This window comes from Homo sapiens, chromosome 17 (genome assembly GCF_000001405.40).
Source record: "Homo sapiens chromosome 17, GRCh38.p14 Primary Assembly".
Taxonomy (NCBI): domain Eukaryota; kingdom Metazoa; phylum Chordata; class Mammalia; order Primates; family Hominidae; genus Homo; species Homo sapiens.
In genome coordinates this window covers 30309502-30335083 of record NC_000017.11, presented here as the reverse complement: position 1 = coordinate 30335083, position 25582 = coordinate 30309502, and the positions used below count along the sequence as shown (strand labels likewise).

The 25582-nt window shown below is 41.0% G+C and overlaps 1 protein-coding gene and 1 long non-coding RNA gene across 4 annotated transcripts; both read left to right on the top strand.

Moving 5' to 3' along the window:
- The first annotated feature begins 1026 nt into the window (after window positions 1–1026).
- On the top strand, window positions 1027–18751 carry TMIGD1 (transmembrane and immunoglobulin domain containing 1). 3 transcript variants are annotated; one of them, XM_011524787.2, is made up of 7 exons: window positions 1027–1084; window positions 2929–3032; window positions 5555–5833; window positions 9990–10268; window positions 16171–16274; window positions 17851–17891; window positions 18394–18751. In XM_011524787.2, exons 2-7 carry the CDS (start codon window positions 2951–2953, stop codon window positions 18395–18397), a joined length of 789 nt encoding a protein of 262 aa, XP_011523089.1. In that variant the 5' UTR covers window positions 1027–1084; window positions 2929–2950; the 3' UTR covers window positions 18398–18751. The 3 variants fall into 3 exon arrangements, with proteins under 3 accessions (XP_011523089.1, NP_996663.1, NP_001306871.1); NM_206832.3 differs by having other exon boundaries at window positions 2926–3032; NM_001319942.2 differs by lacking the exon at window positions 16171–16274 and having other exon boundaries at window positions 2926–3032.
- A 1962-nt stretch (window positions 18752–20713) lies between these two features.
- On the top strand, window positions 20714–24095 carry LOC105371721 (uncharacterized). The gene is made up of 3 exons (XR_934656.2): window positions 20714–20764; window positions 22387–22420; window positions 24037–24095. It is a non-coding gene; the product is annotated as an uncharacterized LOC105371721 (long non-coding RNA).
- Window positions 24096–25582: the final 1487 nt, after the last annotated feature.

The following is a 25582-nucleotide window of genomic DNA, read 5'->3' as shown; positions in this document are numbered from 1 at the left end:
ACTCCGTAGGGAGGGTACTATTACTATTTCCATTGTATTGATGAAGATCCTGAGGCTCATGGAGGTTAAATAACTTTTCAAAGTTACATAGCTAGTAAGAGGCAGATTGCTGGTGTGCTTCAGCAGTGTGTTAAAATGTGTAGATAACTATAAATATTCTTCTGTTATATTTTTGTGTAAATGGGAACAATAGTACTTGGCAGATAAAATTTGCATCGTTAACAATACCATAAACATAGTGTAATGCAAGGATCTCCCAATCAGGTGAGAGCCTCAAGAGGATAAAACTGTTCCCTAGGCCAAGGTGGGCAGATTGCTTAAGGCCGGGAGTTAGAGACCAGCCTAGGAAACATGGCGAAATTTCATCTCTACCAAAAATATATATATTAACAAAGTTTAGCTGGGCATGGTGACTCACGCCAGTAGTCCTAGCTCCTTGGGAGGCTGGGAGCAGAGGTTCAGTCAGCCACAATTGTGCCATTGCATTCCAATCTGGGTGACAGAGTGAAACCCTGCCTCAAAAAACAAAACAAACAACAACAACAAAAAAACGGCTCCCTGCCATGCCTGGCTTGGTACAGCTTATGCACTGGGCTTGGGTTACTAGTGGTAACTAAGACTTTTCCAGCATTATTTAAGTTGTGTAGAATCTTCCAATGTTTTGACCTCTGTTAAAGTCAAACTTCTCTTTGGACTCGTCCCTTCACAATCCCCAGGCTAGATGATCAAAACGCAGCCATCTTACTTAAATATGACAATATTCAGTGAGATGCGCTACAGATTTTTGCACAAGTTCAAGCTTTCTTGGAACAACACATCCCTGTTAGTAATATCCGGCCCCACCTAGTAACCGAGGTAGACATAGAAACTTAGATCTTAAGAAGATGTCTTTCCCAATTACTATCTTCTCTAAGACTCCATAAAGAAAAACAGACTTTGAACCCAAGTTATCTTATTTATTTGACCCTGCTGTCATAAAGCGTTCAAATTCAAGTATTATAAAGGATTGTAACAGGGAAAGCATTTAGGGTTTTCAGGCAGAGGAACAGTTGGCCAAGGAAGTCAGCTTCTCAGAGCTCAAGAGGTAAGTGGTAAGACTGTCTTATATAGAAAGTAGAGAGTCATACAGATTAAAAACAAGCCAAGTGAGGGGAATACATTTTGAAAAGTTGCTGTCTCGGTGGAGTGGAGGGAAAGAGAAGACATAGATTTGTCCCCTTAATAGGGCTGGGTGAGGTCTGGCAAGAAGCCTGCACTCTCAGTTTTTATTGAGTACTTGTAGTGCAGAGCGCTTGAGAAAACTCTACTATTGACCACATTCTGCAGTAATCACTGTTACAACACTGTGATAGAAATCTTTTTGGCAAATATTTAAAATTACAAAAGAATCAATATTAGTAGTAATTGCATCTTACGAAAAGATTGATGCAGGCTTGTCTGCCAGAAAGGGTGAGCCTGGCATGAATGAAACTTACTCCTGTCAGGGCACGCCTGGGACAGGGGAGGAGTAGAGTAGGTATAGGTATATTTCAGCTCTTGTAAATTAATACTGGTGTTAAGGGGAGAGAACTCCCAGTGGCCAGGGACTGGAAAAGATTAACAGCAGCTTTTTTTTATTTTTTTATTTTTTATTTTTATTTTTTGAGACCGAGCCTCACTCTGTCGCCCAGGCTGGAGTGCAGTGGCATAATCTTGGCTCACTGCAACCTCCACCTCCCAGGTTCAAGCAATTCTCCTGCCTCAGCCTCCCGAGTAGCTGGGATTACAGGCGCTCGCCACCATGCCTGGCTAATTTTTTTTTTTTTTTTTTGCATTTTTAGTAGAGATGGGGTTTCACTATGTTGGTCAGGCTAGTCTCAAACTCCTGACCTCAGGTAATCCACCTGCCTCAGCTCCTAAAGTGCTGGGATTACAGGCATGAGCCACTGCACCCAGCCTAACAGCAGCTTCTTAAAGGAAAAGAATATTAATCTAGGCAGTAGATTGGGTAGTAGGGTGGTTGAGAGTAGGGTGGTTAAGAGCATGGTCTTGGGAGTCTGGGTTCAAATCCCGACCTTGACATTTACTGTCTGTGGGATCTCAGGCAAATTACATAGTCTCTTTAAATCTATAGAAACGACCTCAGGAGGGTTGTTAGGAGGCTTAATTGTGACTGAAATGATGTATGTAAAGTGTTTAGCACAGTCCCTGTTGCGCAGAAAGTTTTCCGTATGTGGTTCGCTATATTTATAGTAGTACTCTTGAAAGGAAGTAATGAATATATGTTTTTTTCCCAGATGGAAATGGAGAATATCTTAGGGAGAGGGAGAGTTGAAGCAAAAGCAAGAAGGGAGAAAGGACACCTTTATTATTTATTATTTTTAGTCCATTGGGTCAAGGGGAAGAGAGAGAGAGAATAGTGGGAGAAAGACAAGATTAACATGGTTTAAACTAGAGGCCATGTTTCAATTGAGGCTTTTCTACGTACACACCATTTGAATCTATGGGATTTGGAGTAGTCTCAAAAACTCTCTATTATCAGAGAACATCTTTACAAAAATGACCCAAGAAAAACTTTCAGAACAAGAATTACTTTGTTCAGTAGGGACTGTCTGAGAATGAGACAAGTTTCATTCTGCTAAAATGAAATTCTATCAGTTTCTCTAGGGAAGACTGGTTTCATCTTCCCCAGGGCACCCTGACGCTGCTCTATCTGTCATAGCCTATTTCCTGTGGTTTTATGTTGCTTTTAAAAAAAATTTCTTACTACTAAATGTACTTTGAACTTAGTCAGACAGGGTTGTTTAATTAAAAGCTAGAAGTAGTACCGTTATAGCTGGGATGATTCATCTGGGACTTCACTTTAAATGCATAATAGACAGAAGGAAGGTTCACGAACTCATTGCAGACCAAAGTACAAAACCAACTGCACTATTTTTCCCTTAGTAGATCTGAGTTTAACTCATTAAAGATGGCATGGAAGAGCAGTGTCATAATGCAAATGGGAAGATTTCTTCTCTTAGTAATTTTATTTCTGCCACGTGAGATGACAAGTAAGTTAAAGTTCTTTTTGGCCTCTTTTTAGATAAAGAAAAATTTCCGATTAAGAAAAGTGATCAATGGGCATTGGATATATCCTTAAATTCCAAATTGGAATGACTACACAGTTAGCATGGCTCACAGTACAGGAGTCAACTAACAATAAAAAATCAAATGGAGGCCAGGCGGGTGGCTCACGCCTGTAATCCCAACACTTTGGGAGGCCGAGGCAGGTGAATCATGAGGTCAGGAGATCGAGACCATCCTGGCTAACACGGTGAAACCCCATCTCTACTAAAAATACAAAAAATTAGCCTGGTGTGCTGGCAGGCGCCTGTAGTTCCAGCTACTCGGGTGGCTGAGGCAGGAGAATGGCGTGAACCCAGGAGGTGGAGCTTGCAGTGAGTGAGCCGAGATTACGTCACTGTACTCCAGCCTGGGCGACAGGGCGAGACTCCGTCTCAAAAAAAAAAAAAAAAAAATCAAATGGAAAAATATTGTTTTTAGGGTTTTATTATTACAAGACAAGGTGAAGTATTCTATTCTCTCCAGAGCCACCACCAGAATCCTCCTACATTTTAATGCATTTTATTACTAATGTTACCCCAAATAATCATCTGTTTATCTGAACATACCATTTCACATGAAAATCTTTCCAGCATTTGCTCTCCTACCACTCTTTTCTGATTTTAAAAGTAATGCATAGTCATTGTAAAATAAATCAGGCAATCTATAAAAAAAAAAAGAAAAGTACAAATCCCCCCAAATACTTTCATCCAGAGATGACAACCACTCAATATTCCATATTTTAATAAAATACTAGACAACAATACCATTATCTTTACAAGTAGCTTAAGTTTTTTGCTTTTTTGAGAAGAAGTCTCACTTTGTTGCCCAGGCTGGAGTGCAGTGGTGTGATCTTGGCTCACTGCAACCTTCATCTCCCAGGTTCAAGTGATTCTCCTGCCTCAGCCTCCCGAGTAGCTGGGATTACAGGAGCCCGCCACCATGCCTGGCTAATTTTTTTGTATTTTTAGTAGAGACAGGGTTTCACTATGTTGGCCAGGCTGGTCTCAAACTTTTGACCTCAGGTGATCCGTCCGCCTCAGCCTCCCAAAGTGTGGGATTACAGGCATGAGCCACCATGCCCGGCCAGCTTAAGTGTTTTAAAAGGAAGGTTAATGTGTTTACAGAACATATTAACAAATGTTATCTGGGGTACAGGTTTATGACAGATAAAGTTCTTTTTTAGCTTTTGTTACTTGCTTCTGAATCAGAAAAATAAAAACCGAAATTCAGGTGTATTACTATGCAATGAATAGGTTTCTAAAAGTCAGAGCTGAAAAACAAAACAAAACAAAAAAAACCTGGTATGTATCCTGATCACCCAACCCACAAAGACTGGTCTACCACACAAACCTCAACTACTTAAACATCTTTTTATTTTTCTTCACTGCCAAAACAATATTAAAACATTATAGATGCAAGACCCAATTTGTCCATAATCCTATCATTTAAGCAGAAAATGTTTTCAAATCAGTTCTTACTCATCTGCATGTGCAATTTTGATACATTTGTAGTAATTATTAGAGCTTTAATTTATATTCTGCCTTTTTGCCTAAAGTTTATACCTTAAATATTTTTCCATTTCATTCCCTTGCTTTCCCACTTTCAATCCCTTCAAGTAAACAAATTAAATATGGTATGTGTATATGTATATACATATATGCATGCGTGTGTGTGTATTCAATATATATGGGTTTTTTCCTGTCTTTTTTCCATGAAAAAATACTTCCATGTATACACACATACACACATATGTGTATGATCATTCTGTATGTATTGATTTCTAACCTGATGCTTCTCAAATCACCGGGGGTCGGGGGGTGGGGTGCCTTTAAACAACACAATGCCCAGATTGCACTCATGTCAACTAATCAGATGTCTGGGGATGAGAATCAGGCATCAGTACTTTTTTTTGGGGGCAAGGTCTTGCTCTATCACCCAGACTGGAGTTCAATGGTGCGATCTTGGCTCACTGCAACCTCCACCTCCTGGGCTCAAGCGAGTCTCCCACCTTATCCTCCCAAGTAGCTAAAAGTATGGGTGCACACCACCATGCCTGGCTAATGTTTTTTTTTTTATTTTTTTATTTTTTGTAGAGACGGAGTCTCACTATGTTACCCAGGCTGATCTTGAACTCCTGAGCTCAAGCGATCCTCCCGCCTCTACCTCCCAAAGCCCTGGGATTATAGGCACAGCACCCAGCTACATCAGTACTTTTTAAAAGATCCCCTGGTGATTCCAATGTGCACAAAAATTTGATGACCACATTTTAATCTTTTTCTTTTTCAGTTAACAATACATTATGAATATTTTTCATTATAAAATCATATAGATCAATATGACTATTTTTAATCGTTGAGAGTTTATTTTGTTCTACTGATGTAACATAACTTATTTAACCAATCCCCTGTTCATGAGCATTAAGGTTGTTTACTCTGTATATCTAAATAGTTTCTCCCTATACTCCCAGGTTCTGTTTTAACTGTGAATGGTAAAACTGAGAACTATATCCTGGATACTACACCTGGCTCCCAAGCATCTCTGATATGTGCTGTTCAAAACCACACCAGAGAGGAAGAACTGCTCTGGTACCGAGAGGAGGGGAGAGTGGATTTGAAATCTGGAAACAAAATCAATTCCAGCTCTGTCTGTGTCTCTTCCATCAGTGAAAATGACAACGGAATCAGCTTTACCTGCAGGCTGGGGAGGGATCAGTCCGTGTCCGTTTCGGTGGTGCTGAATGTTACTTGTGAGTGAGGGGAAAAGAAACAGCTAGTGGGTCTGTAATGTCTGTAACACATGAAGTGGTAGTTGAAATCTAGGTCTTGGTATTGCCAAATTGCCCAATTTATGCTCCTACCACAAAGTATGAGAGTACCTATTTCCCCTCACCCTCATGAGCACTGAGTATCGCCAAACTCTGAGAATTTGCCAGCCTCCTTTGAAATTTTCTTTTCCTTTTCTTTTTTTTCTTTTCTCTTTTCTTTTCTTTTTTCTTTTTCTTTTTTCTTTCTTTCTTTTTTTTTTTTTTGAGACAGAGTCTCGCTCTGTTGCCCAGGCTGGAGTGCAGTTCAGTGGCGCAATCTCGGCTCACTGCAACCTCCACCTCCCGGGTTCAAGCGATTCTCCTGCCTCAGCCTCCTGGGTAGCTGGGACTGCAGGTGCCCACTACCATGCCCAGCTAATTTTTAATTTTTGTATTTTTAGTAGAGACGGGGGGTTCACCATGTTGGCCAGGCTGGTCTCAAGCTCCTAACCTCGAGTGAACCGCCTACCTCAGCCTCTCAAACTGCTGGGATTACAGGTGTGAGCCACTGCACCCAGCCTGTTTTCATTTTTTAAATTAAGAATGAGGGTGTTCACCTTTGTGTAAACATAATGGTCTTTTTTTTGTTTGTTTCCATGAAATGCCTGCTTGTATCCTTAACTCATTTTTTTCCGTTGGGTTTTATGCTTTTTTCTCATTAATCTGTACAAGGGCTTTGTAGATTAAGGAAATTAGTCCTTTGTCATTTTGAATTGTAAGTATTTCTCCTATTTGTTTTTGAAAATTTTTATTGTTCTTTTTTGCCATATTGAAATTTTAAATGTTTATATATTTAAAGCTTCAAGTCTTTTCCTTTGTAGTTCCTAGCTTTTGTGTTCTGCTTAGACAGATTTTCATGGCCTGGCACAGTGGCTCATGTGTGTAATCCCAACACTTTGGGAGGCAGAGGCAAATGGATCACTTAAGATCAGGAGTTCGAGACCAGCCTGACCAACAATGGTGAAACCTGGCCTCTACTAAAAATACAAAAATTGGCCAGGTGCGGTGGTAGGCACCTGTAATCTCAGCTACTCAGGAGGCTGAGGCAGGAGAATTGCTTGAACTCAAGAAGCAGAGGTTGCAATGAGCTGAGATGCCACCACTGCACTCCAGCCTGGGCAACAGTGTGAGACCCATCTCAAAAAAAAAAAAAAAAGATTTTCATTAGGGAATCTTTAAACATCACCTTAAAATCAAAAAAGGTGAAGCTTTTCAATGATTGGGTTCCAGGTATTGGTAACCCATTGGTAGAACTGTATAGGCTTAGGGGACTGTCAAGTGATACAATGTAGATGATCACATGGGTTGTTGGGTGAAAAGCTGGTTCTGCATGAGAATGGTGTGGATGGTATGGCAATGGGTGAGGTATAATGATGCAGTATGATTTGGTAGAAAGACCCTATCTCTACAAACATAACATAGTGAGACCCTATTTCTACCAAAAAAAAAAATAAGGTGTGTTTTTAATTAGCTGGGCATGGTGGCACACATCTGTAGCCCCAGCTGCTCGGGAGGCTGAGGCTACAGGATCTTCTGAGCCCAGAAGTTTGAGGCTTCAGCGAGCTGTGATTGCGCCACTGCATTTCAACCTGGGCAACAGAGTGAGACCCTGTCTCAAAAAAAATAAAATAAAATAAAATAAAATAAAAAGCCAGCTAAGGAAACTAAGGCCCGGACTAGGGGCTCAAATCATAGGTGCAGCTGAGAATAAAACACTAATTCCCAAGCTTCTAACCTAGTGCTTAAGTGCTTATTCCACGAAACTTTTTTTTTTTTTGAGACAGGGTCTCACTCTGTCACCTACACTGGAGTGCAGTGGCACAATCTCAGCTCACTATAACCTCTGCCTCCCAGGCTCAAGTGATCTGCCTGCCTCAGCCTTCCAAGTAGCTGGGACTACAGGCGTGCACCACCAGGCCGAGCTGATTTTTGTATTTTTTGTAGAGACGGGGTTTTGCTATGTTGCCCAGGCTGATGGAACCCTCTTAAGGGAGACATGGCAGAAATGCCAACAATGTGATTTGATGACTTAAAGAAATTGTTTTCAGTTTTCTAGCCTCAATCCACTGTTTAAATTCTGTTTATAACAATCTCCTAAATATCATTGTTGCTAAGTGTGTGTGTGTGTGTGTGTGTGTGTGTGTGTGTATAGTTAATTGCTCAGTAATCCATAATGACAGTACTGACACAAAGTCATCAACCAATAAATCAAAATGAGCTCATAAAATGTGACAAGGATATTATGTACCCTTCAAAGGCAGGACCATTATTGTTATAAATAGCAGAATCAAGAACTAAATGGAAGCTTGATAATACACTGTTTGGGGGAGAATGTGGAGAAACAGGTCCTCTCATACCTCGTTGCTGAAAGTTTAAATTGAGAACACCTCTTTCAAAATACTTATCAAAATTTAAAGTGTGCATATCTTACGACACACCATTTCTCCTTCTAGATGTTAACGTTGGAGAAATACATGTACAGGATCATAAAGAGATATGTACAAGGATGTTTATTGTAGCATTGTTTAACATTTTAAAATGAAAACAACCTAAAGCCCATCAAAACACAAATGATTAAAGGCATACATTATACTATAGCATTCTAAAAGCAATAAGCTAGATCTCTGTGGTTCAATATAAACATATCTCAAAAACATGCAAGTTACTGAGAGAAAGGAAGTATTTTATGTAAAACCTTCCCATGTCCCTAAAATAATATGATATATTTCCTATGGGTACACTATATGTATAGAAAACTATTTAAGAAAAAAGAAAGATAGGGAAGGATTTACACCAAACTCATAACAGTGGGTATCTCTGGGGATCAGGAAGTGACCAGCTTGGATCTTAGCTTTATCTAAAATGTACTAATTTTTACAGAGGGGATATTCACATATACTGATATGCTTAAATTAATTTCAAATAGTTAAATAGAAAGAAATCACTAACAGAATCTGTCCACAAATGGAATTGTTCCATTTGGCAATTATGTTCTCTATTCCAGCAGCTTCCTTCCTATCTGAATACCATATAACATCCTTGTTGGATATGATACAGAATTCGAGCTCATTCCAAAGAGCAACAAAATGTCATTCTTCTGAGAGAGTTATTAATAACACAGCCTACTCAGGGTCTAATTATTCAGTGTGCAGATTATACAAGCTCCTTTTTCCTCCTTCTCCGTCTCTATCTTTTTCCTAGTTCCCACTCTCCAACCATTTCATTACTATTCTGCACTTCTGCCAGAATATGCACAGTGATAGATGTGTTGACTGTCTATGGGTCTACAACTGCCCTTATTGTAGAGGAAAAAAGGAGTTGCTCACACACAGGGATGAGAGGGACTCACTTGCCTTCCACAGATGCCAGAGTTCTCATGCTTAGAACACCTTCTGGGAGGAGGACATTATTTCTAGAGCACCACTGAGAAAACGCAAAGATGCATTGGTGAATATGTTACCAAGGCAATGGTTCGATAAAATGCAAAAACAGACGGTGAGAGTAACCCTCAAAACCACCACCACCGTAATAATAATAGCGGCTAGCACTGTGGCAAATTCTTTACAGGGATTATTTTATTTAATCTTTACAGCATCTCAGGAGATGTATGATTATCCCATTTTTTTTTTACATGAGAAACAGAGGCCTTAGCAGTTAGTTAACTGTCTCAAAGTCACAGTAAACGGTGTAGATGGAATTAGATCTAATTGCAATGTATGTCTTCTTAATTTTGTACTGTTTTGTGCAACACTAGCACAGGTTGGTTTATTAATTCTCAGAGAAGAAAGACTCAAGGCTTATACTCTTGGGTAGTGTTACAAATTGTCTGCTTGTCATAGATCATTACTATATATATCATGCTCATAATCATATATTGTTTCATGGTTTGTCTTCTTCATCACATTAAAAGTTCTATGAGATTTGGAACTGGAAGTGTTATTTGCCCTTGTTACCCCAGTGCTTGTCACACCGTACGTATTTAATAAATTTTTGTCAAATGAATAAATGACCACATGAGATAGATTGAAGGAAGACTTTGAACTCTGACAGTGAACTATTGCTTATCTGCTAATTAAATCTAAATGCTTGAGTCTTGCAGTTCCTCCTCTCCTAAGTGGAAACGACTTCCAAACAGTTGAGGAAGGCAGTAATGTGAAGTTGGTTTGCAATGTGAAAGCCAACCCCCAGGCTCAAATGATGTGGTACAAAAACAGTAGTCTCCTCGATTTAGAGAAAAGCCGTCACCAAATCCAACAGACAAGTGAGTCTTTTCAGCTGTCAATCACCAAAGTCGAGAAGCCTGACAACGGAACCTACAGTTGTATTGCAAAGTCATCTCTGAAAACGGAGAGCTTGGACTTTCACCTGATTGTTAAAGGTAATGCTCTTTTTAAGTAATACCCAGCACAGTGCAAAACTCACACCAGATGCTCAGTGAATATTTCTGGTGACAATAAATGATAATAACGGTTATGATTAGGGCCAGGATTTTCTTTGGAGAATCATCCCCATCCAAGGATTTTTCCACTAAGAATCCTAGTCCATCCTTTCAGGGAAATCATGCCCATTCCATACAGGACACTGTTTTTTGAGCAAGAATCCTTTCTTAGAACCAAATATAGGAAACAATCCTGCTTGGCTTTTAGGGAAGAGTATTTCCATGAATTCTCCTGGGCAACAATGTGTGTAGCAACTGGACTTTTGAGTTCACAGCTTCATAACTAACAGAAGTAAAAAACACACAGAGAAGAGAAATTAGGACTAGATAAGAAAATGGATCCCTACAATCACTCCTAACTCAAATTCTAACCTGTAGGGTAATCAGCAGAGAGAGTAGGAAAAAATAAGGGGACAAAAAAGCCCTTTCTCTTGGATTCATGCTTCATCTACCCAGGGTTATCACCTCTACAATGACAGAACAAATGATGCTCTGTGGGGTTTTCCCTCCTCATATTTCTTGCTCATACAAAAAGAGAAAGGCAAAATACCTGGGGTAGCAGATGCCAAAAATGCTCATTCACACATGGTCTGCTCTCATGCTAGCACACCAGGAGCAGCCCAACAAGCTGAGACTCCCATATCTTGTTAGAACATTACTCACTTTGTCATTTGCCTCCCTGTACTCACTTATTGCCAGTCTTGTCAGTCACCAGGAAGCCAGCTGAACCCCTGCCAGAAGTGTTGTGGTGATGTAACCATAGGACATCTTATTTGCTTCCCCTTGAGGGGAAGAGTTATGGGATATGAAAAGAGTGGCTAGTGGGGAAGAAGACTTACTGGTGGTTGAATGCCCATCACTGTGATTCCTGGAATGATCAGTAATTCGTCCTGCGGAGCACTAACAATTGCTCAGGGGCTACTTGTTTTAAAAACCAAACCCACAAATATCCTGAATACCCATGAGATAGAAGCAGTGAAAAAGCTTTGTGGTTATTTACCTCCCCCAAGACCACAAAAGCATGGAAGGGTGGGCCTCATGCCCTGCCATCCTGACTATGAACACCACACTTGCAGGCCAGGGAATTATATCCCTCCTGGTTAAGAAGAAATCATAATTGCTCTGTGTCACATTAAAAAAAAGTACAGCTTATGTGGCAATCAGGATGCTAGCTTAGCAAATTGGCTTTCAGGTGGGCAGAAACTTGTTTTGGGTGGGGCTCTTCCAAACCAACTTGTTTTTCTTATTTCTTCTTGCTTAGCTACTTCCCACGGCTGGTGGCATAAATGCTCTGCTGCTGGGGCTTGGGCTAAATGCCAAGATTTTCATGAGCCCTCACCTGGCTTCACGGCTCAGTGAGGAAGTACCTAAATGAGGCCATGCAAAGCTACAAACGACATCACAGATCTTTTCTTGAGCACAAGATTTAGCCCATGTGTTGGGATTATTTAACCATGATGAATATAGGAGGGAAATATCAGGTCTGGTTACAAATGAGACCATAAAACAGGACAAGGGGAGAGGGGCAGTTATGTAATTACCCTTGCCAAAGTCTCTTTTTTCTTTCTTTTTCTTTTATTTTTTTGGAGACAGGGTCTCGCTCTGCCACCCAGGCTGGAGTGCAGTAGCGTAATCATAGTTCACTGCAGCCTCATCCCCCCAGGCTCAAGCGATCTTTCCACTTCAGCCTCCTGAATAGCTGGGACAGGTGCGTGCCATCAGAACCAGCTAATCAAAAAAATTGTTTTTGTAGAGAGGAGGTCTTGCCATGTGGATCAGGCTGGTCTTGAATTCCTGGGCTCAAGCAATCTGCCACCTCAGCTTCCCAAAGTGCTGGGGTTACAGGCATGAACCACCATGCCCCGACCAAAGTCACTTTCAACAGAAATTTGGAATCCAAAGCAAGCCAATGGGTAAGGTAGTTTACTTCGGTTTGTGTATAGAATAAGAGCTGTCAGCCAGGTGCAGCGGCTCACGCCTGTAATCCCAGCATTTTGGGAGGCCGAGGCGGGTGGATCAGGAGGTCAGCGGTTTGAGACCAGCCTGACCAATATGGTGAAACCCGTCTCTACTAAAAATACAAAAAAAATTAGCCGGGCATGATGGTAGCCACCTGTAATCCCAGCTACCTGGGAGGCTGAGGCAGGAGAATTGCTTGAAACCAGAAGGCAGAGGTTGCAGTGAGCCGAGATCGCACCACTGCGCTCCAGCCTGGGCAACAAGAGTGAAACTCTGTCTCAAAAAATAAATAAATAAAAATAAAAAAATAGAGTAAGAGCTGTCACATGTGGCTTCATTTTATCTGGCTTGGTAAAAATATTCCAACCTGTGACTGAATTCTGATTTCTTTTTCTTATTGTCCCACCTTTACTTCCCCTTTGTTTTGATATCTTGCAAATAGAGGGGCTCCCCAGTAAGGTTGACGGGCCTTTGGTGTGTCCCAGAGCTGGCTAGTACAGAACCAGGGCTTACTAGAAAAAGGCTCCCTGAGCAAAGTTTCTCCATAGGGGTGATATGACCCATACCTTCATGAGAATAATTTTTAGAAACAGCTAAGAGAGGGCAAAAATTTAATCCATTTATTTCCCAAAATTATCCAGAGCAGGAAATGATAAAAAGGTAGTTACAGGCTGGGTGGGATGGTTCATGCTTGTAATCCCAGGACTTTGGGAGACCGAGCGGGAGGGTTGCTTGAGCCCAGGAGTTCCAAAACAGCCTGGGCAACATATTGGAACCCTGTCTCTACATCAAATCAAAAAATTAACTGGGTGTGGTGGCACGCACTGGTAGTCTTGACTACTCAGGAGGCTGAAGTAGGAGGATCTCTTAAGCCCTAGAGGTCGACGCTGCAGTGAGCCATGATCATGCCACTGCACTCCAGTCTGAGTGACAGAGTGAGACCCTGTCTCCAAAAATAATTATAATAATAACTGGTTAGTGTGTTATACAGTTATGGGGACAGGGGAGATAAACCCTATTTCATAATCTTAAGGTATATAGGGATTGGGCTTTGAAATTAAATTTACCTAAAGTCACTTCTTCCCCTCTTCCCTGGTTTTTGCCCTTCACTTGCTAACTCATGACCCTGTTTCCTTTCTAATACTTAATCTGTAGTGTCTGTTTGTTTAATGTCTGTCTCCCTCACTAGAAGATGAGCTCCACGAAGGCAGAGGAGCCTTCTACACCTGTCCTATTTTTTGCAGTGCTGAACACAGTGCATAACACACATTAGTCACTCAGTAAATATTTGTTGACTGCACCTCAATCCATAAACTCAATTGTGCGATAAATAGCACATGCTCAATTTCCTTTAAATGCCTAAAATGTTACTTAAGCCATGACTGAAGCTCCTTCCCGTCGTTGGATGGCATCAGAATCCAGGGGCTTAGACAAGGTCACTTTAAAACCTTTGTTGAACTGAAGCACTTTTACTTTGTTACTTTTTTAAGAAACGGGGTCCTGCCAGGTGCAGTGGCTGATGCCTGTAATTGCAACACTTTGGGAGGCCCAGGTAGGAGAATTGCTTGTGGTCAGGAGTTCAAGACCAGCCTGGGCAACATACCCAGGCTCCATCTCTAAAAAAAAAAAAAAAGGGGTTGGCCAGGCATGGTGGCTCACACCTATAATCCCAGCACTTTAGGAGGCCAAGGCAGGCAGATCACTTAATGTCAGGAGTTCGAGGCCAGACTGGCCAACATGGCGAAACACTGTCTCTACCTAAAATACAAAAATTATCTGGGCATGGTGGTGTACACCTGTAGTACCAGCTACTTGGGAGGCTGAGACAGGAGAATCGCTTGAACCCAGGAGACAGAGGTTGCAGTGAGCCGAGATCAAGCCACTGCACTCCAGCCTGGGCGGCAGAGCGAGATTCTGTCTTAAAAAAGAAAAAAAGGGTCTCACTATGTTGCCTAGGGTAGAGAGCAGTGGCTATTGATAGGTGCAATCATAGGGTGCTATAGCCCTGAACTCCTGGGCTTAAGCAATCCTCCTGCCCCAGCCTCCCAAGTGTCTGGGACTACGGATATGCCACGCTGCCTGGCTTTCACTTTTACTTTTGAGAGTTTCATTCCATATCATATCAAAGATATTAAAGCAAAGCACATTGTATGTGCTTTCTGCTATAAAATTTTTGAAAGAATTTTTATAACTTGTATAGATTTTGAATTTTGTTATAAATAAGTTACTCATTTGGTTCTTGAGGTTTAAACATTATTATTTAACAGTTCGGTTAGAGTTGATGCCAGGTTGCATTTTACAGATGCTTAAACATTGATTAATTTTGATTAATTTTGCTACTTTCTTTTCATATCTTGGGGCCAATCATTTTTTTCTGGGTCTCAAATATTTTCAAAGGCTCTTAGAAAGCTTGCAAACACAGGCACTATGCCTATAGTGACTGATAAATAAAGTAGCTCTTGGCCCGGTGCGGTGGCTCATACCTGTAATCCAAGCACTTAGGGAGGCCAAGGAAGGCGGATCACAAGGTCAGGAGATTGAGACCATCCTGGCTAACACAGTGAAACCCCGTCTCTACTAAAAATACAAAAATTATCTCGGTATGGTAGCACGTGCCTGTAATTGCAGCTACTCGGGAGGCTGAGGCAGGAGAATTACTTGAACCTGGGAGGCAGAGATTGCAGTGAGCCGAGATTGCACCACCGTACTCCAGCCTGGGCAACAGGAGCAAAACTCCGTCTCAAAAAAAAAAAAATAGCTCTCAGTTGACCTGGTGTTTAGAAAATAAAGGGGTAGGCTTTCACTTCCAAGCTGTCATGGTTGCTGCTGATCTCTTCCTAGTCCAAGTTAGAAGTAGGCTCTCTCTCTTTGCATGGCATTTAGAGAGATGCAGAAAACTTTGCCAAGGTTGGGAAGGCTCATGCTTAGAGTCCTACTTCCCTAGAGACACTATGCAGCCACCTACCTTCTATAATGTCTTGTCACCTGCTTGGGGCACCATTGCAGTACAGGTACAAGGCTCCCCACTGCTTTTGAGGCCCACAGACCTCTCTCTCCTTCTTAGTCCAGAAAGCTCTCCACCCTTTCTCTTCTTGCTCTCAAAGCCTTCCTCCCTCTCTTCCCTCACCCACCCCAGGATACTTCCCAATATATTTTGGACTTTTCAAAATCCAGGCAAAATCGTTGACTTCAATCTACTTCTGCTCTGTGTGTGGCAAAAACTGTGGGTGAAGGAAGCACAAAATGGTCTACTTGTTTTAGGGGAGTTACTCATATTACAATAAATTATTATTCCACAAAGGAATTGATTCAAAACCTGCCTCTACCATTTACCAGTTCTGTGACTTTTTTTTTTTTTTTTTTTTTTGGAGACAGAGAGAGTCTTGCTCTGTCACCCAGACTGGAGTGCAGTAGCGCGACCCTGGCTCACTGCAACCTCTGTCTCCTGGGACCAAGCAATTCTCCTGCCTCAGTCTCCCAAGTAGCTGGGACTACAGGCACTTGCCACCATGCCCAGCTATATATATATATATATTTTTTTTTTTTTCTTTTTTTTTTACAGATGGGGTTTCACCATGTGGGCCAGGCTGGTCTTGAACTCCTGACGTCAAGTGATCTGCCCGCCTCAACCTTCCAAAGTGCTGGGATTCCAGGCATGAGCCACTGCACCCGGCCTAATTCTATGACTTTGAACAAGCACTCTAACCCCTCAAACCTCCTGGTTCCTCACCTGTGAAATGAGGACAATCATACCTACTTTTTGAGATTGTTGAGAAGGTTTAATTAAGGGGATGACACACATAAAGTTCAAGGCACCATTGCTGGGACGTATTGGAAGTATATAAATGTTCATTCTTATTCCCTGTGTTTGCATTTCCTACAGATAAAACTGTGGGTGTACCAATAGAGCCCATTATTGCTGCATGTGTTGTGATCTTTCTGACATTGTGCTTTGGACTGATTGCTAGAAGAAAGAAAATAATGAAGGTATCTAAGTATTCTGAGCTATTTAAGTAAAAAGCCATCATCTGAATAAAGGCAGAAAGCTAGAAATATAAGTGACTTCAGTTAGGAACCCTTCTTGGCAAAGTCAAATCTGGTCTTTATACCATGAGATCTAAAATACAGTTGCTCAAGGGAATAAAAATTATATGTACATTATGAGTACAGATTTACAAAGAAGAGAAGTGCACATGGGCAAAGCCTGAATTGAAAATAGCTGTGTTGCCAGGGGTAGGCAATTGGGGGCTGATTTTCCTCCTTTTAAATTGCCCTTTATTGTTGCTATGATACCTGTGGTATAATAAATAAATATAGGGAGGAACATCCGCTCTAGATTCAGAGATCTGCATGGAAAAGATGGCATTGGCTGCTCACTTCTGGACTATAGCCACATGCCCTGGCTGTAGTGGACTGGTGTTTGAATTATAAAGTGGTTATCCTCGTTGGTTGGTATGATTCAGAATACGTGCATGCTTAGGTTAATGCCATGCATTTGACTCTGCCAGCTAATTCAGTGCCAAAGGAGAGCAAAAAAGGCAGAAAGCCCTAGGCTGAGTTCATCATTCAGCAAGGGGCATTCTCCTTGGAACACATAGCAACAGGGCAGCCATGTCTCTCAAGAAGAAATTCACTCCACCCCCTATTCCAATCCCAAGCATATTTTAGTTGTTGTTGTTTCTTTTCTTTCTTTCTTTCTGTCTTCCTTTCTTTCTTTTTTTATTTTTTTGAGATAGAGTTTTACTCTCTCTCCCAGGCTGGAGTGCAGTGCCTTGATCACAGCTCACTGTAGCCTCAACCTCCTGGGCTCAAGTGATCCTCCCACCTCAGCCTCCCTAGTAGCTGGGACCACAGGCATGCACCACCGTGCCCGGCTAATTTCTGTATTTTTTGTAGACAGGGTTTTGCCATGTTGCCCAGGCTGGTCTCGAACTCCTGAGCTCAAGTGATCTGCCTGCCTCAGCCTCCCAAAGCACTAGGATTACAGGCATGAGCCACCACACCCAGCCACAAAGCATTTTTTTCTTTTTTTTTTTTGAGATGGATTCTTGCTCTGTCACCCTGGCTGGAGTGCAGTGGCGTGATCTCAGCTCACTGCAAGCTCCACCTCCCAGGTTCACACCATTCTCCTGCCTCAGCCTCCAGAGTAACTGGGACTACAGGCATGTGGCACCATGCCTGGCTGTTTTTTTGTATTTTTAGTAGAGACAGGGTTTCACCATGTTGGCCAGGCTGGTCTTGAAATCCTGACCTCAAATGATCCATCTGCCTTGGCCTCCCAAAGTTCTGGGATTACAGGTGTGAGCCACTGCACTCGGCCGCATTTTTTTTTCTATAAAAAAGTAAATACTCAAGTATCTAAGACACTGGAAGCATCTTAACTAAGAGTTACATCTTCTTTGAGTTTAATAAAAACTACTAGTGTGGCCCCAAAAATGACGCCTGAGCCAGTGCAGAGGTGTGCACAGGACACACACCTGTCCTCGAGCCATCTTAATGCATTCAAAATATTTCTCCATGGGCCTTAAAAAGCAGGCTAATTTACTGCCATGTTTGCTTTTAGCTCTGCATGAAGGATAAAGACCCTCACAGTGAAACAGCTCTGTAAGTACTCTAGGCCGGGACCAGTGCTTTTTAAATAAGCAGATGAATAGCAGTGATATGCATCACTCTAGACAAACTCCAGAGATGGGAGGTGCTGGAAGGGGAAGGGGTTCAAAGGAGAATAGAAGGTGGAGGAAAATCTGCCTCCACTTTAGAGGAAGACAGGTTGAAAAGTTGCCTAGAATAGAGAACACCTTTAGTCCTAAGCCTGCTCCCTCTTTAAGTGAGTTTGCCCAATGTTTGTGCAACTGCATTTTATTGCCACACAATGCAAATGCTCTGGAGGAAGTCACTGGTCCATACTGCTTTACAACAAGGCCAGGAACCACATTCATCCCCATACTGCCTTCTCTTTGCAGCTTTGTTTAGCGCTTCTAGCATATGTGAAGTGGGTAGTAGGTAATAAGAACAAAGGCATGTTGTCAGAGAGTATGGGTTTTGTTTTGAATTTTTTTCTTATTGCTATGAGCATCATTATTATTAATTTCTTCATTCATTTCAGATGAGAAAGCTGAGATGCCATCGAATACAGAGAGAGTTTTGCATCAGGACCTCCACAATTTATGTAGTCCCATCTGTATTTATTGCTATTATTAAATTCACTCCTGTCACTCCTGTTTCATTAATCACTTAACAGTAGTTGTTAGGACTAATTTGATACACTTGTGGAACATTTTTATGGAAAGAGCTATTAAGAATGAAAAGTAAGATTTTGTTAAGTCTTCTCCTTGAAGTATATGTTAATTAATTGAGATTTGTTCCAAATAGGTTGGTAATCATTTACTGTTTAGTGTGTTTTTTTTCTAGGTAGGAGATACTTGGGTCTCACAAATTGGTGCAAAGCCAAAAAAAAAAAAAAAGGAAGAAACAACAGAGTAATCAATTTTTTAAGTTGCCCAGGAAGCATATAAAAAATACCAGTTATGCCAGGTGTGGTGGCTCCTATAATCCCAGCACTTTGGGAGGCTGAGGCAGGCAGATTACTTCAGGCCAGGAATTCAAGATCAGCCTGGCCAACATAGTGAAAACCATCTCTACTAAAAATACAAAAAGCCAGGTGTAGTGGCATGCACCTGTAATCCCAGCTACTTGGGAGGCTGAGGCAGCAGAGTTGCTTGAACCTGGTAGGCAGAGGTTGCAGAGCTGAGATGGCACCACTGCACTCCAGCCTGGGCACCAGAGCAAGACTCTGTCTCAAAAACAAACAAACAAAAAATCAATTATTATCTACCTTCACTGTCGTTTCATAAAAGAAATGTTTTAGGACTAAAGAAAGAAAGAAGACTATAATCTTGAAATATAAGATGCTCCTTTAAATTGAATAAATTTAGTATTATGAAAAACTCAGCGTATGTTCCTATTTTTCTCATTTCATTGTAGTTGACATGGTCACAAAATTTGTGAGCTCTATGTGGCAATGAATGTTCAAAGAGCAATGAAATTGGTAATTTGTGTTGTACTATCTGTACTAATTATGAGTCAGCCTGTACTTTTCTCGTACCTCTCCCATTTAAACCACAGCTCTCATAATTTATAATTGACTTTCCCCATCTCCATTCTTTCTTCTTTTTTCCCCCATAAGAGTTTATGCTTCTCTTTCCCACACAACTGGGAGCTTGTAGGGGAGGCAGCCTTGGCCAGAATCATCTTTGATGTCTCTTCTGTGCTCCTCCTCTGTCTTAGAAAAACAAAACAAAACTGTTTTCATCTAATTTTGCAGTAGCTAAATGTGCCACAGTGCAAGAGAGATCTGCTGTCAGACAGGTGGTAAAAAGCCTTCTTGACATAGAAGCAAAAAGAAGAAATTAGCAGAATGTATGAAATCTCAACAGACTTGTTTCTAAAAAGAACAGACATAATCCTCCTGTTAGTCTCTCTTTGCTTCCTTGGAAACCTCAGTATGGAATGGATGAGAGAGAGACTGCTACAGACTGTGGGTTACACATTTCTCTGTCTTCTTGGAGGATCCAGCAGGGTTTTGTGGGGAAGCCTCCAGATCACGTTCCTCACTCGAGAGTTCTCAAAGTAGAATCTGGAAACCCTAGGAGAATGCTGTAAGGATAAAATAGGATTATGAAAAAATCTGAACATTTAGACGTTAAGTAGAAGCCGTGAGACCGTAAAGCAAAAAACAAATCTTGGGCAATGATGGTTGGGATAGTTTAAAATGGAAAAGGAAACAGAAAACATACATATCAAATTGGACTTGGAATCAGGAGACCAGAGTTCTAGTGTTGGCTCTGTTAACTTGGGCAGGAAAAACTCTCTTGGACCTTTGGGAAATGAGGAGGTTAGATTAGGAGATCCTTATCCTTAAAGTACACGTTAGCTTCAAAATTCTATAATTCTCAAAAGATCCTACATAATTTAGTTAAATGCTGGAAAGAGGTGGCAAGAAAGACTGAAAATGTAATCCCTTTGCCCCACCTAGTAGAATTATGAATCAGCTTTATTCTAGGACATATAATAATCTTGAGAATTACAGGTCATAAGTAAAGAGTTTCCTCACCCTTATAAAATACAGTGGCCTTGTACATTAGCACAGGCAAGGAACATTAACTAGTTTTAACAGAGCACAGCAATATTGTAAATGGTCATTGCATTGCATTTTGCCTTGCAGTATGGGAGAAACAGAACCTGTATTAAAAACTATGTACATTATTAACACTAAAATCATGAGTGAGCCTGCCTGAGGAGGACATGAAATTCTAGTACTCAAAAGAGGACTCCACTGCCTTTTTCCATATGTCTTTTCTACTTACTATCAGGTACCTGAAATTTCAACATTCATTCTTCTGGTTTCGACCCACAGGACTAAAAGTAGCAGCAGAGAAGTGACAATGCCAGTGGCTCCCTTCTCAACCTCTCCACCAGTAAGGATACCTCTTGTTATTATCACATTCTCTTTCTTGGGCCCCATTTTCCCAAGAGCTAATCTATGAAGCAAATTTTATTTATTAAATAATAATAATTATCTGTCCAGGCGCGGTGGCTCACATCTGTAATCCCAGCACTTTGGGAGGCTGAGGTGGGAGGATCACTTGAGGTCAGGAGTTCAAGACCAGCCTGGCCAAAATGGTGAAACCCAGTCTCTACTAAAAATACAAAAATTAGCCAGGTGTGGTGTGGCACACCTATAATCCCAGCTACTAGGGAGGGTGAGGCAGGAGAATTGCTTAAATCCAGGAGGCAGAGGTTGCAGTGAGCCAATATTGCACCACTGCACTCCAGCTTCAGCAACACAGTGAGACCCTGTCTCAAAAATAATAATAAGGCCGAGCACGGTGGCTCACACCTGTAATCCTAGCATTTTGGGAGGCTGAGGTGGGTGGATCACCTGAGGTCAGGAGTTTGAGACCAGCCTGGCCAACATGTTGAAACTCCATCTCTACTAAAAATACAAAAAAATTAGCTGGGCGTAGTGGTTGGCGCCTGTAATCCCAGCTACTCAGGAGGCCGAGGCAGGAGAATCGCTTTAACCTGAGAGGCGGAGGTGGCAGTGAGCCGAGAACATGCCATTGCATTCCAACCTGGGTGACAAAAGTGAATCTCCATCTCAAAATAAATAAATAAATAATAATAATAAAAAAATTAATAAGAATTATCTGTTTTTCCAATTTTTAAAACATTAATCAATTATATCTGTTTGCCATTTTGATCTTCTTTTATGACAATACAGTTACCTAGTTGACAGAATTCCACCTAAAAGCAAAGAAATCTGGAGCTTTAGTTAACCTGTGCAGTCTTTTAGAGGTTAAAGATATAATCATTGCCAATAGGCTTTTTGAATCATTGAAAAAAACCTCACAAACCTCTTTCCCCACCAGCTTTACCCCTGTCATCACCACCATCATGACTACTTTCCTGACCCTATTGGCCAGGGGTTATAGATTCAAATTCTTACAGATTCAAATTCTTACAGTGAAGAATTCAAATTCTTCACTCATTGATCAAGCAGATCAATGAGTGAAGCAGGCTAGATGTACAATAATAGGGAATGGTGGGGACTGTGGCAAACAGAGAGCACATCTGTGTCCAAAAGAAGGCTGATAATTATAATCAGGGACAGATCTTCTGATTCTTTTTTTTTTCTTTTTTTTTTTTTTTTAAGACAGTGCCTCGTTCTGTCAGGCTGGAGTGCAGTGGCACAATCTTGGCTCACTGCAACCTCCACCTCCTGAGTTCAAACGATTCTCATGCCTCAGCCTCCCAAGTAGCTGGGATTACAGGCATGCACCACCATGCCCGGCTAACTTTTGTATTTTTAGTAGAGACAGAGTTTCACCATATTGGCCAGTCTGGTCTTGAACTCCTGGCCTCAAGTGATTCACCTACCCTGGCCTCCCAAAGTTCTGGGATTACAGGTGTGAGCCACTGCACCTGGCCAGATCTTGTGATTCTTTAAGAGAAGTCAGAGATCTGAATTTTTATGTGTAATTCCTCTAATTTAAAAATGTTTTTTGTTTGTTTGTTTGTTTTAATCCTGAATGTCTAGGAGTAGAAGAATCCTATATGCCATCCTCTGGCAGGTAGGTTACAACAGTGTTGACTTGGGCTTTCATTGTCTCATGGAGATTTTTGTGAAACAGCTCTTGGAATTCTCACTCATTGCTTCCCCAGAGATCAGGCAAGATCATGAGGAGCTAAGTCAGGGGACAGTTAGTTATGGTCTGCTGAGGACTTTATGCACATAATTTGACTCTGTAAACAATCCTATGAAATGGTCATGATTGTCGCAACTTTGGAGATGAGGACGCTGGGTTCAGAATGCATAATTAATGTATAGAGAGTGACTAAGCTGAGATTCATACCTGGGCTGATCCAAACCCTGGGACTGGAGTAGGAAAGAGGATATCACAGAAGGGGTAAAGGTTGAATAATAAAAACTTCACCTCTCTCATAATATGCTGAGATATCTCATAATATGCTGAGTGATATCAGTACAACCCCACTTCTAATGACCCTCAGAGAAATTATTTCTGGAAATAAAGGAAATTTACAATAATCTTAGTTGGAGAGCCTTTTGGAAATGTTACAACACTCCTTGAGATAATTTGCAACACCCTGCAGTGTTGCAGGACTGGAGCTGAGAATTGCTGCCCTAAATATTTGCTTGTCCTCCTAATGATAATAATCACCAAGTATTACTCTTTGTCAAGGGGTTTGCATAGATCATTTCCGATCTTTGCAACAACCTCTGAAAGGTAGGCGTTGAAGCCTCCATTTTATTGGCAAGGAAAAGGAAGAGTTGAGAAACAATATAACTTAGTGTAATAACAGTAGTGCAAGCCAGAATAAAATTCATCTCATTTTATTTTAAAAAATCAAATCATGATTAATCTCATGCCAGAGACTATAGGGAATAAAATTGACACATTAATCACAAATTTCCTAATACTCAGGTAATCTTTTCCCAAGAGTCTATCTCTGCAACTTCAAGGTTGCTATGTGGCAAACAACTTACATCATGGGTTGTTTACATATACATACTGGTGGAAAACATGGCGAACACTATTGTAAATTCACAAAAAAAAGTGAGTTCTCAGAAAATTGTATATATATACATACACACATATATATACACACCCACATATATGTACATATACAGATATATATATAATGGAAGAACTTCAGATCTATATATATATACATACACACACATATATGTATATTTTTATTTATGTGTATATATATATATATTTATATATATACATAAAAAATGGAAGATCTGGAGTTCCTGCCAACATATCCCTACAGTAAAGTGTTGCTGTGGAAACCCATGAATTCCTGAATGATTTGTCCTTACTTCTTCTGACACTCCTGATAGCAGCACTAGTGCTAGCCTGTTTAAATTGTAGTTAGTAATAACAATCTCATATTTTCATGTTACTGTATAGTTTACAAAACATTTTTACAGATATTTGGTTTGATTCTCACAGCCACTCTGTGAGATAGGTAGTGCTATCATTATTTATGATTTGCAACTAAATGATACTAAAATTCAGAAAGGTTAAGTGATCTTTCCAAGGTCACAGAGCTAGTAAGAAGAGTCATTTCTCCATCACCCTGCCTTTTGGTCCTAAGTAAGTACTACAGTTGCTCTTAGTTTTGTAGAGGACAATCATTCAGTCCTTTTGCCTTACAGGTGATTACTGTACAACAGGAAAAGTGGCAACAGGAGGTGACAAAATAAATGATCTCACACAAATACTAATTGTTTCCATTGGGTATTGTTAGGAATTGTCAAAATTGAGTTCTCTGCATTACCTGACGTATAGTGGCATCACCTAACAGAAGTTACAACCCTATGAGCACTTACCTTGTACTGTTCTGAGCACTTTTAACATATTATAACTCAATCTTCTTAACAATCACAGAACAAGGGTTCTATTTTTAAATCATACCCATTTTACAGGGAAGGCAACTGAGGCACAGAGGATTTAAGTCATGGGTTCTGGGTCACACAACTTGTTGGTGGCTAAATCAGAATTTGGGCCAAGATAGTATGGTCCTGGGTCTTTAACCACTAGGCTAAATTGCCTTTTACATTAAGAATGAACATGTATACGATACTTCCTATACTCCAGGAGCACACATATATAGACTTATTTAATCTCCATTATTGACACATTTAACATTTGAATTCAAATAGAAAGCAGTGAGGCCAGGAGTTTGAGACCAGCCTGGGAAACACAGAGAGGCCCTGTCTCTAAAAAAAATTTTTTTAAATTAGGCCGGGTGAGGTGGCTCACATCTGTAATCCCAGCATTTGGGGAGGCCAAGGTAGGCGGATCACTTGAGGTCAGGAGGTCAAGACCAGCCTGGCCAACATGGCAAAACCCCGTCTCTACTAAGAATACAAAAATTAGCTGGGCGTGGTGGCACAGGCCTGTAATTCCAGCTACTCAGGAGGCTGAGGCAGGAGAATCACTTGAACCTGGGAGGCAGAGGTTGCAGTGAGCCGAGATCATGCCACTGTACTCCAGCTTGGGTGACGGAGTGAGACTCTGTCTCAAATAAATAAATAAATAAATAAATAAATTAGCCAAACATGGTGGCATGCACCTGTACTCCTACCTACTCAGGAGGCTGAGGCAGGAAGATCATTTGAACCCAGGAGGTTGAGTCTACAATGAAATAAGATCGTACCATTGCACTTCAGCCTGGGTGACAGGGCGAGACCCTGTCTTGAAAAATAATAACTTTTTAAAAAGCAAACATAAAAAGACAGGGAGGGAGGGGCAAATGGGGAAAGGGAGACGAGAGAGATACACACACACACACACACAACTTGAAGTGCCGTGATGAGTCCTGTATTCCATTCAAAGAACACATGCCTGGAAGTGAGCACAAGAGTGGGAGGAGCATCGGCTTCCCTGGCCAGTCCTAGTTCCCTCATGGCTCTCTAGGCGTGAGCCTATTGTGTGCTGACGATGAGTCTAGTGTTCAAGAATTTGTATTTTTTGTACAACATAGTCCCTAAAAGGAAGCCAAATACCTCATTTGGTTCTCAACCACAAAATAGCCCTCTCTTTCCATTCTGGAATAAAAATTTTCCCTACTGTGCTTACAAAAAGGAGATATTTGGGTCTCCGATGAGGCCTTCCCAAAAAATTTGCAAGGATAATTTTGACTACGACCAATTTTTGTTTGACTTTGGAGCCTCATCCTTGAGTAAGTCATAATTCCAC